This window comes from Homo sapiens, chromosome X (genome assembly GCF_000001405.40).
Source record: "Homo sapiens chromosome X, GRCh38.p14 Primary Assembly".
NCBI lineage: Eukaryota > Metazoa > Chordata > Mammalia > Primates > Hominidae > Homo > Homo sapiens.
This window is the reverse complement of record NC_000023.11, coordinates 63716927-63731217: the sequence shown is the minus strand read 5'-3', so window position 1 is coordinate 63731217 and position 14291 is coordinate 63716927. Positions and strand designations below refer to the sequence as shown.

Here is a 14291-nt window from a genome sequence, read left to right as displayed (position 1 = left end):
AGGATACGGGCAGACACCAACCTGAGAAAACCTCATAGGCAAACCCCTGTCATGTCCCTCCTTTTCCTCCTACGGAGCTTCTTGGAAGGCAGGTCCAGCTCATCTACCTTCATGGCAATTGGCATATTTGCTATTCCATACATGTGAGGTTCACATTTTTTAACCCATTCTCCCTTCTGCTGCTTCTTATTAAAACACTAATATTTCTGACAGCCACCAAGGCTAATTAAATGTCTATTTTGGGGGTGGTGCTGTTGAACTAGAGGGGAAGAACAAGAAGTTGTAGATAAGTGGCATGGCTCTAAAAGACTGGGTGACAGCCATAATCCCAAGTTTTTTCCTGTGTTAACACAGCCTGACATTGGGCATGCTGCTTACATGACCCCAAATACCCTTTTGCAGACATTTACCAACAACTGAGGAAGGCCTTGTAGATAGGAAGGGAGTGCTGGAGGCAGGGAGCACAACATATGGTGTGGCATGGGGAAATCTGTGAAGAATGAGGCATCAGAAGAGGCAAGGGTAGGGCCTACACTAGGACAGTCCATTAGGGCAGTGGTTCTCCAGATGTGATTCCCAGACCAGCAGCATCAGTATCACCTGGGGATCTATTTGAAATGCAGGTTCTCAAGCTGCACTTCAGACCTACCTAATCAATACTCAAGGCCTATGTGGCCCAGCAACCTGTGTTTTAACAAGACCTCTGAGGAACTGAGAATCACTGCTGTAGGTCATTCACAGGGTGAGCTGGTCCCCCTCCCTGCCATTTGACTGGTTCCATGGGGGACTGGCAAATAGCAAAGCTGTAGAGTAAGGCCAACTGGAGATTTAAATCTGCTCCACCACCTACTAACTGGGTAACTGTGGGTTACTTGTTTTATCTCACAAGTCATCTTCAGTAAAAATGGAGATGTTAATGCTTACATTGGAGAATTATAGAGGTTGAAATCACAAAAGAAAGCCCTTTATCCAGTTTGCAGCATATGTTTTCTACAAGTATAAGCTTCTCTTGCTTCGTCCTTCCCTTTATAACTCTTTTACTTTCCTTCTGTCTTTCCCATTTCTTCTTCTGTTCCCACTGAAAGGGTCCACTGGCCACCCCAAGCTCACTGCAAACACACATGCCTTTTTTGGTCACAGAGACCAGCCTTAGATCTCAGACTCCCAGTGCCTCCAGGGTATAGCAATCATATTTCTAGGTTAAAAATCAAGGCACATGACAGCTGATAAACAGATATATCTACTTTGGGGAGCAATTAGATAGAATATTTGATATTAGGATTGTCTTCGGAAATCTGGATACAAAGAAATAATATCCTATTCTGTCTTTAAGCATAATGCAGGACTCTTAACCCTCCCCATCCTCTTATTCATGTCCAAAAGTTTTGTTGATGTGGGAGTGGGAAACACTATGTGTCCCACTCACTTGTAAGTCTGAGCAAGAGCTTCCCTATATTTAGTGCTTCCTCTGAAATGTCCTGGGGATTGGGAATTATTTTGTTAGAAGCCACAGTAGTGCTGTCCTAAGGCTCAGAGCTCTTTGAGTACCTTGCTAGAATGATGCTGCTCCATCTTCTGGCTTTATGATAGGCTTGCAAGATGAAGGATGGTAACAGTTGGATTTTGGCAGGGAGGGAATATAAACCAGTTTGGGAATAGAGAATATAATCTCTGCTATAGCTACTCCCAAATGGCCTTTTCTTGGTTTTCTTTTTTATAGCTCTGTACCATTTGATAATGTTGATGAGCTCTTGCTGCTTGAAACTCTTGTCTTTGACTTTTGAGAGATCATGCTCCTTTGTATCCTAATGATGTGCTAACAGCTTCTTTTAGTTTTATTTATGTAGCTCTTTTTCTGTTCCTTACCTCACATTCCATCTTTAAGCATAAATCTTGATTTCCCAAGGCTTCTGGCCTTAGCACTTTTTTCCAGGGCAAACTCTGATTTTCACAATTTCTTCTGGGCCATTGATTCCCAACCCTGTATATATACCCTAATCTCTCTTGAGCTTCCCACCCACCTGCATGTCCTGCTGGCCCCCCATATTTAACACCTTAAAGAGAAAATTTGTCATCACTTCTTTTGCAAAGCCAAGCCAATATTTCCTCCTAATTTGTCCTATGCTTTAATTGACGTTTGCACCCAAAAATTAACTTTGACCTTTTTCTTTTCCTCAGACTAGATTCAAGGTCCTTCAAACATGACTTCACTCACCTTTTTAGCCATCACTCCCTCCACTCCCCTTTCCCAACCCTAACCTCTCCAAACTCCACTACTTGTTCACCATCACATTTCCCAGTCTTCTTCTCTGAGACTTGGCTTAATCTCATTTCTCTGCTTCAAATGCCCCTCCCTTTCCTCCTGTATCTGGTACCATCCTACCCATCCTTTAAGGGCTATCTTCATTGCCACACAAAACCTTTCTATAGCCCAATACCCATGTGTAATCAACCTCCTTTCTCTGAAGTCTTGTACTAGGCCAGCACATGCCAGGCACTGTATATCCACCATCTGAGTTCACCCTCTCTATAACCCTGCCTGTGAGGCAAACATTATTACCCCCATTTTGCAGATGAAAAAACTGAGACCCAAGGTTGTATAGTTAGAAACTCTTTGGCTTTTGTGAAATTATACTCCTAGATGTCATAATTACATGCTGACAATTACATTTAAGTTTGTGTTTCTGACTCCTCTTCTATTCCTCACCTCCTATTGTCATTGCTACTTTCTAAAGTAGTAAAGCCCAGAATCGAAGGTAGGTATGCGTGCCCATAAAACCACCTTTGCGTCCTGCTGGAAAGATATGCATTGTTGGTACCTGGAAACCCTTTGTTCTTCAGGTAAGGACTGCAGCTGAGTCACAGTGAGCAGATCCCTGCACACAGTAGGAGCTCAATGAATGAATGTTGGATGGAAGATGGATGAGCAGAGCAAAGTGCATTTTAACAAAAATTGTAGCAAGTTAAAAGTTAATTCTGTACACAAATGGAAGATTTGGAACCAATTTCCAGGTTAAGTTTAGTTTACATTTTCAAAACAACTCAGAAGATGAGGGAGGAACATCCCTTTGCTCCGGCTTGTGTTTGTGAGGAGAGAACACAGAAGCCCCACACAGCTGTTAACGCCTTCTGGATTAGCGTTCCTCTCACCTCCATGCACATACCTGTCAGCTCTCAGTTCAGTGTTTTATACCCTACAAAGCAGATGGTAGAGTAGAATTATCCCCATTTTATAGGTGAAGAAACTGGGACCCAGAGGCAGAATAGTTTATAAGTTAAGAGCAGAGTCTCTAGAGCCAGACTGTGCCTCTACTGGAATAATGGCTTCAGTAGTTATTGGCTGTGTGAACTGCAAATTATTTAACTTCTTTGAGCTTCAGCTACCTCATCTGTAAGATATGAATAGTAATAGTTTTTCCTTAAAGGGCTGCTGTGAGGCTTGAATGAATTAATGTATATAACGTGTTTAGAATAGTGCCTGACATAATAGCGCTCTTTATTAGCTAACATCATCATAATTATCATTACACCTTTAGCTAGTAGTATAACAAGGTCTTAAATTCAGATTATTTTTTCTACCTGTATTCCCTCTCTGTGGTGTTATGTTAGAAAAAACACTAGTCCAGAAGGCTGACCATTTGATGACTGTAGGCAAGTTACTTTTGTTAAACCTCATCTATAAAATGAGGGCATGAAGGTGATGATCTTTAAAATTCTGTCCAATTCTGACAGTCATTGATTCTAAGTAGGCCCTGACAACAGGCTTGCAAGTTGGTTAGTTGTTTTTGTGACCACTAGGTCCTAGATTGGCTTTGTCCAGGGTATAGCTGAGCCTTGTGACCTGAGGGCCCAGGTATATCAGCTGGACTAAATGGGGGACAAAAGTCAGCGATCTGCTTCTGGGAAAAGCCAGGCATGGAGTTCCTGAAAAGAAGACTGCAAAGTAAAAAAGTATAGACAGTGGAATCAGCCAGATCTGGGCCTGGGAGACCTCAAAGAGCACCACAGATAGTGTCCTGAGCAGAAGGTTGGTAATTGATACTGAGATACTCTTTGACCCTTGATAAAAAGCTATGGATATAGCTTTAAACTACAGGTCTTAATGGTGCTCTGGGTTGGGGCTGTATGTGCTTACTGAGTTCTAACAATGCCCACTTGGGACCCATCTTTTCCAGGAGAGGGGAGACTTCTCTATAAAAATTTACTTTAGTAAGCCAGTGACCAGCTTTTCTTTTTCTTCACTGAGGCCAAAACAAGGAGAAATTGACTTTTAGTACAATTGGAAGAAAGCAAGTTCAACATAAAAATGAATGTCCTCAGCATCAGGGGCACCTATGATTAAAGGTGGCTGTGTACATCTCCTGTAGGGTTCTTTAAGAATAGGAGCCAACTGGCTTATGATATCATAGATGGAGTTCAGTATAGATAATGAGTAGACATTGGTAGTACAGTTTGATAATTGTAAGAGCACACAAAGTTAGAAGACCCAGCTTCATAATGTATTACTTGTGTTATTGGCTGAAGGACTAGGTCACCTTTCTGAGCCTCAGTTTCCTCATCTTTAAAATATAGGTAAATGGCCAGGTGCAGTTGCTCACACCTGTAATCCTAGCACTTTGGGAGGCTGAGGTGGGCAGATCACTTGAGGTCAGGAGTTTGAGACCACCCTGGCCAACATGGAAAAACCCCCATCTCTACTAAAAATACAAAAATTAGCTGGGCATGGTGGCGTGCGCCTGTAGTCCCAGCTACTTGGGAGGCCGAGACACCAGAATCGCTTGAACCCAGGAGGTGGAGGTTGCAGTGAGCCAAGACTGCGCCACTGCACTCCAACCTGGGCAACAGAGAGAGATTCCGTCCCAAAAAATAAAAATGAATGAATGAATGAATGAATGGTAATAGTGAGGCCCAGTTGATTCCGTAAGGATCAAGTGATGTAGTAGATGTGAAAACACTTAGCAAAGCGTAAAGCATGAGGTATTTGAAAGGTGGTGTTGTGAAAGGTCCTGCTGGAAATTTATTTTTTATCTATCCTGAAGAGCTCACCCTATGCCTTACCTTCTGTGGAAGGCACAAAGATGAATCCTGAGCCATGACAGATGCATCTGGCAGGACCTGAACAAAACATGTTAACTTAAGTCAAAGATCAGCATGTGTGTATGTGTGTGTGTGTTCATATATATGTGTTCGTATGTGTTGTGCATTTATTTTGAGAACCTAGGGTTATTCTGTGGCTAGCATGTTGGAGGGTAGATATATGAGACAGGATGTATATTCTATAGACTATTTCTATTGTCTTAAAGTTGTTTTAGTTTTGGTCTTATGGAGCCATTATTGCCTTGAGCAAAGTAGGCTGATGGAAAAGCTGACTTCTAGAGGACTTGTTCAGAAATTCAATGCTTGGGAGAGAGTGCTTGAGTCTCTTTGCCTGATAGGCCATGTGTTCTCTATTCTGGAATCTGTTACCCCAAATGCTGAGAAGACTGATGGCCCATACAAGCTGGAACAGTTGAGGGAAAAAGAACAAATAACACAGTGAGCAGGATGGTAAAGAGAGGCAGACTACCTCCCCACCCCCACCCCATCCCTATCACCGTGCTTAGATGAGTTTCATGAATGTCTGTTTGCTGGTATGGCAGTGGAATAGATGTCTGCCTGCTCTTGTGTGGAGCCCAGTCCTGCTAGCCGTGAAGTCTAGTGAGCAGGGTTAGCGTGCATTCCATGCACAGGTCCTGCCTTGCCAGCTGATCTCCAGCTCATCACTTGCTTGTTCAGTTTTGCCATCCATCAAATGCAGAATTCAACCCAGACCTCTCCCCCTACTGTATCTCACAGGATGGTTGTACAAATCACTGAGAGAATGTGTGCTAAAGTTGAGTTTCTTGGGTACAAGGCATCACAGAAAGCCATATTCTTTCCTACCCATGACCTCTCTGGATGGCATCATGTGTGAGTGAGAGGAGGAGGCTGCAGGACTGGGGTCCATTATGCGTGAGGAATGTTATGGTCTGTTACCCCAGGAGGAGGGTCACGGTGGGGTTAAATAATGTACCACCAACTCTCAATTGGTCAGTTCCAAGGAGGAGGAGGAAAGGGGGAGGAGCACAGGGAATTGAAAGCAAATAAGCTTGAGTCTCATTTTAGCCATTGCTGTCAGCCTCTCCACCCATTCCTGACCTAGAGCTGCCTTGAAGCACCAAGGAGAGATGGACTGGAGCTTTCTTTGTTCTGCACAGGAGAAGTTCATGATTAGGGATAAAAAGCATGAGGCATATGTAGTACATATTCATATTCTGGGTCATTCCATGCACTGGCTAACAGAGAGTTGACAGTATTGTTTGTCTTGCGGTCTAATGGAACTTTTGTTCCAGTGCCATCCCCCTCACCCCTATCTCTCACCACTTGAGTATATGAGTTTCTCTGTAAGTAGTAGAGCTCTGTGGGTGGGGGAAGGGGCAAGCAAGGTAGCTGTGTGGACTGAACACATTCTCATTTTGTCTCCTAAGCTGATCACTGGAGATTCCATCGTTAGTGCTGAGGCAGTATGGGATCACGTCACCATGGCCAACCGGGAGTTGGCATTTAAAGCTGGCGACGTCATCAAAGTCTTGGATGCTTCCAACAAGGATTGGTGGTGGGGCCAGATCGACGATGAGGAGGGATGGTTTCCTGCCAGCTTTGTGAGGGTGAGTGTCAGTCTTCACTCTCCTCTCCTATTTCCTTGGCTGCCTGTACCTGGCTTCCCCTTCACCAGCCTCTGTTCTCCTGTTTATTTCTCTCCTGGTGGCTTTTCTCATATTTTTTTCCTTTTTTTAAAATTGTCTCATACAGAGAACCTGGGCTTCCTTTAATCTGTGCCCTTTTAATTTTTAGACTTTTCATTTGTCTCTTGTTTAACACCCCCGCCCCACCACCTCCCACCTTTGTACAAATCACTTACCTTGTCTGGGTCTTGGTTTCCTCTTTTGGGGTTGGCCTTGGTGGTTTTTGAATAAGACTTTTTAACCCTATATTGCTGTGAACTTTTGTCTTTCTTATCTCTCTTTTTTCTGCTTTCTATTTCTCATCTTTTTTTTATTCTTTCTTCTCGTAGTTTCTTCCCATCTCCTCCTCTTGCTCCTCTGCTCTTCTCTCCTTCCTGTCTACTTCTTTGCCTCTCACACCCCTGTGTGTTGTCACTGTGTATTCAGATGTTAATATAAGAGTGTGAGCTCCCTGCCCCCCAGGCGCTAGAGCTTACTGATATCAAATTTTACTTTTTTCAAGAGAATCAAGTGGCTGGGATCTAAATGTGCTGGGGGTGGGAAGCAAGTGGCATGTAAGGTCTTGCAAGCCTTCTGCCTCTTTGACATTGTACCATGAAGAACCTGGCCCTTAACAGAGAGGCTCTTGGGAGGAATTTCTCAGCAGTTTTTGCTTTTTCTGGGTCACTGTAAAGGAAGTGATCCCAATGTGCTTATGACCTCAGGGTGCTATGGGAGAATAACATTGGTTAGGTGTCTCAGCTCTTATTTTTTCTTGGAATTGTGAGCTGGAATCAGCTATTTGACTATTTTGAGCTCTGATTTTCCTCATCTGCACAATGGTCTTGACAGTTCTTTAATGCCAGGGCATGTCACAGTGAATGAGATAAAACATGCGAAAACTGCTTTGTGGCAAGACAAGTACTGAAGCTACATGAGGGTGTCTTATAACTATCCTTACGACAGCCTATCACGTTTTGTTAGTTTCTCCTGTAAAATTAGGCTGAAGTCTTCTAGACCCCAAACAAAAGGTCAGAAGGGCTAGCTAGGGCTCCTAGAGGTTGAAGGGCCCCAATATTAGAATTATGGCAATGTGATATAAAGAAAGGAACAGGGCATTTGGAGTTAGAAAACTCTAGATACAGTTTTACTACCTTCTAGCTCTATAGCTTTTGGTAAGATTTTTAACTTCCCTGAGCCCTGATTTCCTCATCTGAAAAATAGGGATAACAGACTTTTTATAAGGAATTAGATCATACATGCCAATAAGGTGTCTAGCACAGTGCTAGACAGATATTAGGAACTTAGCAAATGGTAACTTATTTTATGATTATCATCATAATTATAATCATCACCACTACCTTTTTAGCTCCAAGAAGGTCCATGTATCAAGGCTTCCCTTGAGGTTGATAGAGGCCTCCTTCCTCAAGGTAAAAAATCCAGAAAGTATTGTTACCTGGTTGGGACAGTTTAGGTGAGGGCACTGCCTAGAAGCAGAGGAATGGACAAAATTACCTCTCATTCCCTTCTATCATGAGAATCTTCTAATGAAATATCCAATCTTTTCTTCTCTTCAGTCAGAGTCTGCAAATGCCATCTGTGTCCCATCTCATCTTTGCTGGTTAAAGAATCAGTCCCAGGGATAGTCAGAAAAAGCGTATCAATAACCACAGACCTTCAGGACTAATGTGAGGCCCTGTACGCATACAGCTGGTATGTCTTGTGCTTACAGACCTCCCTCTTTAAAAGAAGGATTAAACTGTACCAAATGATGATGTCACCCAAATCCAAATGCATTTCATTTTCAAGGAAATGTTACTTTTATAATAAATAGTAAATCCAAGGATGGGGGGAAATGATTGAGCAAGCCAGGATGGCTCAGGGAAGCAAATGACAGAGCCAGACTTCAGAATATCAGTGGGCAGCCATTAATGCCCCTAAGTCCAAGGCCGGGAGGAGTGTTCCTACAGGAACAAAGCCCCAGCAGCCAGAGTCTAGCTCAAGTGGTTCTCAACCCTGGCTATACAACAGAATCACTTCAGTAGCACAAAAAAAAAAAAAAAACAAAAAACAACAAGAAGAACCCAAACAAACAAAAACACTAACACCCAGCCTCCAGGCTAGTAAAATAAGATCATTTGACTAAATTGGTAACTGACATGGTGAGGTATCTTCATTCCCTACCTGGAAGTCTCATTGCTGACATTTGAACCCTAGGATGGATAATCAAGGGTGGTTAGTGTGGTTCTGTTCAAGTTAGCCCTACCTGTTGTTACACATTAAAACCCAACCTGCAGTCTGGGAAACCCAGATGCTTGCCTCAGTTCTATTATTAGAAATGCAACTTGAGCAGCTTCCTATGCATCTTCAAATATCAGTTTTCTTCCTTGTAAAATGGGGACAATTCAGTCTTGTAAAAATGCTTTGTTACCTGTGATATGCTGGATACTTGTAAAGAGGAATTATAATACCATTTAGCCACTGTACAGGAACTTACCAGGTATATGTGTCTTGACCTATTCACACCTGTCTCCTCTGTTGTTCAGAATTTCATACTTGTATGTGCTTATGTGTGTGTATATGTGTGTGTGTGTGTTCTCAGGTTCTTTCCTTTCTGTACTGGGGATATGGCTTCACAAGAGCAATGTAGGAGCTGATATACCTTCCCAGTAGTTGGTAAGGTTAAATGAATTAAACTTGCTGAACATCAGTCCTCATATCTAGTTGTCGACATCGTCAGCTGTTTTCCTGGGCTGGTTTCCCTGCTAGGAGCTAAGGGTAGACTGCTAGGATATGATTGTGTCTCTAAGTAGCAAATCCCACCTCTGTGGTGGGCCTCCTTTTGTCTAATAGACCCTAACTTCAAGTCATTCAGGCTCTTTTCCTTTGTCACTGTGCACAAAATGAACCTTTTTTTTCTGACTTTGGGCCATGGCCTGAGGAGAGCTTGCTGCCTAATTAAGGGTAGGTTGTGGACAGGACACATGACAACCTGTTACTGATGGGAGGTGAGGCTCGTGTGACAAGGCATGGGTTTGGTCAGAAAGTAAAGAGCTTGCTGAGGTGTCATCAGGAGCTGGATATATACTTTTCTTGTTCTTTCAAATTCTTTATTTCTCTGGTTTCTGGCCTGCTTGGAAGTATGGAGATGAAAGGATCACCTAAGCCAATCATTACCATCATTTCTTGGCTTTCTACAGACCAGATGTCATGGAAACCCAACTTTTCCTTTTCAAAGGAAAGCCCATTGTTCCAGAGTGTGACCTGGCTTTTATTTATGTATTATCTCTTTTTGGCTGCAAAAAGAGATACTTGGGAAAAGCTTTTCACCTCTATGAAACCCTAGATTCACTGTAGATTTAGAACTGAAAATAACCATCTTAGCCAAGAGTGGCCAACTTAGATGCTTACAGGGGCCAATTAAGTGAGTGAAACAAATTGAGACAAGGGGTAAGTGGGCACCTGTGTCCAACTGGGAGATCCATGCCCCATCTAAAGACAGCAAAAGTGACTTGGATGGTTCCCATCATTAGAGTGGGATATAGTGGAGAGGAAAGCCCAGAGGGGCCAGATCTTCTAGTATTTCAAGAAAAGCCGGGAATTGGATTTTTATGTAAAACTCTTTATATTTAAAAAAATGTTAATGAGGAATTCATATTTTTAAAGAAGCACAGTGAGAGTCAAACAAAACACATCTGTAGGATAAATTATCTCCCAAGGACCCAGCTTGTTGCCATTGGTCACCCTACCTCCACGTTGTATAAATACTGAGGCAACATGGGCCCAGAAAATGGAAATGACTTGCTTTCTCATGTAGGGAATTAGTGGCAAAGCCAGGACTTGAACCCAGGCCTCCTGAATCTTAAGACAATTTTACTAGACAGTCTTTGTCTAATAAGTTTAATGTCTTGGCTTCCTTTGGTATGTTTTCTGCCAAATTATTTTTTTCCTGTGAATAGGTCACATGTTCCTGTTTTCTTGTAGGCCTTGCAATTTTTTGTTGAAAACTTGGCATTTTCAATATTATAATGTGGTAACTCTAGAAATCAGATTTTCTTCTCTCCCCAGGGTTTTCTACTGTTGATTGTTGAGGGCTGTGGTTGTCCATTTGTTTAGTGACTTTTTCCAACTATTTTTGCAAGACCGTATTCTTGTTATATATGGTCACTGAAGTCTCTGTTCTTTTATCTCATTGGTCAGCCAATAACCTGACATTTCTTTAAACATCTGGATCCAAGAAGAAACAAACAATACTACTTTCCTGGTTTTTGTAGCTTGACTCTGAGCTGGAGTACCCACTTGAGACTGTGCCAGGTCATCAACTCTTCTGTCTCAGCCTTCTCCTCCTGTTTGTATGTAGATCACACATCCTCCAGAAATATAAGCCTATGGTCCTCTGAGGTTTTTTTCTGAGCATGCATCTGGTCCTGGGCATGCGTGTTATAGTGTGACTTCCCTGGTATGCATGGTGGCCCTTATGAATCCTTATTCCCCAAAGAAACTTCCTTTTTAGCTTCCTCCTTCCTGTGCTATTGCATGTGTTTGCTATTTGTCCTGTCCACAATCCCTTGTCCCAAGTGGGCATGAGCAGTGTATGTCTTTAAATCTTTCAACAAAGGCAGCCACAGCCTGGAAAGCCTCTCCAGCCAGAGGTCAACCTCTGTGCTAGTCCCTCAGTGCCAAAAAGGTCAAAATGCACAGCTACAATATTGTAAAGAACAAGGTCATTATCTCCTGGCACCAGCAAGCCACACCAGGAATGTGGGCCACTGTCACCTCAGCCACTGGGGAATGGGGAATGGTAAGAGGATAAGCAAAAGTGCTTCAATGCTCTCTTACCAAATTTTTGCTGCCCTTTTCTGCATTACACAGTCCCCTGTAAGTTGCTGCAAGTTTTGGATTAGATTCTAGAGTTCCAAAACAATGTGTTCTGTCATTCATTGCCAGTTTAAGGTTGTTTCAGTGGAAGAACTGATTCTTTGTGTGCCCTGCTCCACCACTTTTAGTGATGTTGTCCCCTTCTGAATCTTAATCCTGTGCTTTCTGGCCTATAGCATAATCAAGAAAGGGCAGGCTTGGGCTGCTAACAAGACTGTTAACACTTGAGGACTTACCTTCCATTCCAGACTAAAGGCAATAGTGTTTTTGCGTTCTTGAGAGGAGTTTCACTATACCAACCCTTGTTTATCCATTCAAGCTTCAAAGTGTTCATAAGTCTCTAGTCTTAAACATTTATATCATTTATGTAGAAGGTCTTGCTTGTGGCCCTAGAGGTAACACATTATAGGTTGTGAGTTTAGGCTGACATTAACAGGGAGAGTCTTTCTCCCTGGATTATGGCTATTTCTCTCCCCTGTACTAGAATTTCAAATGACATTATTATAACTCATTTGCATTCACATAATCCATCTTAATGGCTTCTCACTATGCACATTTTTTGGATTACATCATCTAGTACATCATTTGGCTAATTGGAGGTTTTTTATTTTTTTCTTTTAATATGGAGACCTCTTCAGCTCAGAGAGAATCTTAAATGTAGCTGTTACATCACCCAGATGATTCCTCCAAATTAGGTAGCACAGGTCACCCTCATAGAAATCCCAAGTTGAAAGCAACCTTGAGAGTCATATAGCCTATCCCTCAGCCTCCAGGCAGGACCAGAGCTAAAATTACCCTGGGCTTTTGAGAACCTGGCCAGCATCTGTAAACCAAGCTTGAACTACTCTGTTATTTCCAGCTACTAGCCCTTATGCTGTAGTCTGAGCCAATTTCTTGAAACATGTTGCTTTTTTCAATAGGAAGATGGTATTTAAGAGTTGACACCAGTAGGAGACATTCTGAATGGTTTTCTTGGCTCTGGGGCTTTCCAAGGCCCTATTGTTGACCCATAGCATGGATTTGTAACCTGGTTGGCTGCCTGAGTTGAGGCTATGATCTTGGGCCTGGCACCTGTTTTTCTCTGTGTAATCAACCCCCGGGTTTATTTGGGGATTAGCTTAGACCTTCCTAGCATCGTGTATATACTGCCTTGGTGGTGTGATGACTTGAGGAGAGGAGGACCATGACTGAGTACCTGGAGATGAGGTCTGTTTCTGTGGCTCTTTGTAAAGTACAACATTTTTGGAAAATCATCATACTTGTATATATATATTTTCTTTTTTCATCAGTATATTTATCATTATGAGTAAGAGTGAAACCACTTATCTTTACATGGCTCTAGTGCTATTAATATCTTCTCACCAGTATTTACTAAGTCCTGAACAAAAGTGACTGTCTAGCACTTAGCAACAGCCACCTCCTGGAGTGGTCTAGACAAGTACTAAGGGTATCTGGCATCTTGAGAGGTCTGTTGTCCTCTATATTAGAGGGTCACTAGAGAAACAATACTCAGAAGTGGGTTGGTCTCTTTTTTTAGTTTTCAGAAGTGAAAACTGACAGCTCCATACCTCTTCAGGCCACCAGTTATACCTCAGGACAGATCTGAAATAGTTTGTCCTTAAGTTGAACTAGAATCTGTCTTTCTGGAGCTTCTACTCATGGGAAGGGTGTAAATGTCCAAGAGAACTGGCTCTGGAGATAATCTTTCTGGATTAGAATCAGAGCCTTTCCATTTATTAGCAAAGTGGCCATTGTATGCTTCAGTGATCTCATCATTAAATTGAGGATATAACAACACCTATCTCATTAAGTTGTCAGGAGAACTAAACAAAATACAGGAAGAGCACTGACAATGGGATCTGACACATAGGAAACACTCAATAATAATACTGGTAATACTTGCAGCAAACTCTTAATGTAAATGGTAGAAATAATGTCCTCATTTTTCCCTGCTCCTCTCTCAAACCCTCTTGGAATATACTGACTCTCCACTCTGTCTATAGCCCATCAGAGATCTGAAACCTCAGACCAGGTCAGCCAAGCCTCTCCTGTCCTCCAGGCTTCTGAGCTTTCACCTTTTAGCCATTATTTGGATGAATCAGTTTCTTGTTGCTGCTATGTGTGAGTGGCTAGACTGAGGCCATCCGGGCATGCAAGGCCCACTCCATTCAGCCACTTGTATGAGAACATGGGCTACATGGAGGCCTGGACATGCTGACACTGCCAGGCTTTCAAGACTAATAGGAATGATATTACAACTAATGACCCTGCTGAACATGTAATTGGACAATGTTCTTTCTTGGCTGTTCTGACCTCTACCAAGAGGCATAATAATGTTACTGGGGCCATACATCAGCAGTTAGCTTCCATTTAGGAACAAATAAATGGTGGAACATTGTGTTATATGTAGGAACCCAAGAATGGATTGAAAAACTTCTTTTTAAAATATACTGGGGAAAAAAGCCATAATAATAGACCTGAACATTCTGCCCATTGGTCCAACTCTTTGTTTTGATAAGCTTATTAAGGTAGTACAGTTATTGACATTGCTGCTCAGTAGAGCTTGGCCCTGAATGCCATGTGCCATGTGTGCGATGGACTCATTCCCATATTTATATAAAGTAAGCATAGCTTACTGTTAAGCGTACATTTAATAAAGATGCTATATAC

At 42.3% G+C, this 14291-nt stretch overlaps 1 protein-coding gene across 27 annotated transcripts in view, besides 1 other annotated feature; it reads left to right on the top strand.

Moving 5' to 3' along the window:
• The window catches only part of ARHGEF9 (Cdc42 guanine nucleotide exchange factor 9), a 150248-nt gene that overhangs the window by 53997 nt on the left and 81960 nt on the right, over positions 1-14291 (top strand). For 20 of the 27 annotated variants that reach the window (NM_001353922.2, NM_001353921.2, NM_001369043.1 and 17 more), the window contains one exon: positions 6507-6686. The exons of 6 other annotated variants lie outside the window; for them this stretch is intronic. In NM_001353922.2, coding sequence (NP_001340851.1) covers positions 6507-6686 — 180 coding nt within the window. Of the gene's footprint in view, positions 1-6506; positions 6687-8320; positions 8457-14291 lie in introns of all 27 variants that reach the window. One more of the 27 variants, NM_001369042.1, reaches the window with a different exon arrangement.
• Positions 12973-13022: a silencer, noted in NCBI's record as "silent region_20875". NCBI's record gives its function as "represses an Ori minimal core promoter by ATAC-STARR-seq in GM12878 lymphoblastoid cells {active_cell/tissue: GM12878}" and the evidence as "EXISTENCE:reporter gene assay evidence [ECO:0000049][PMID:35858748]".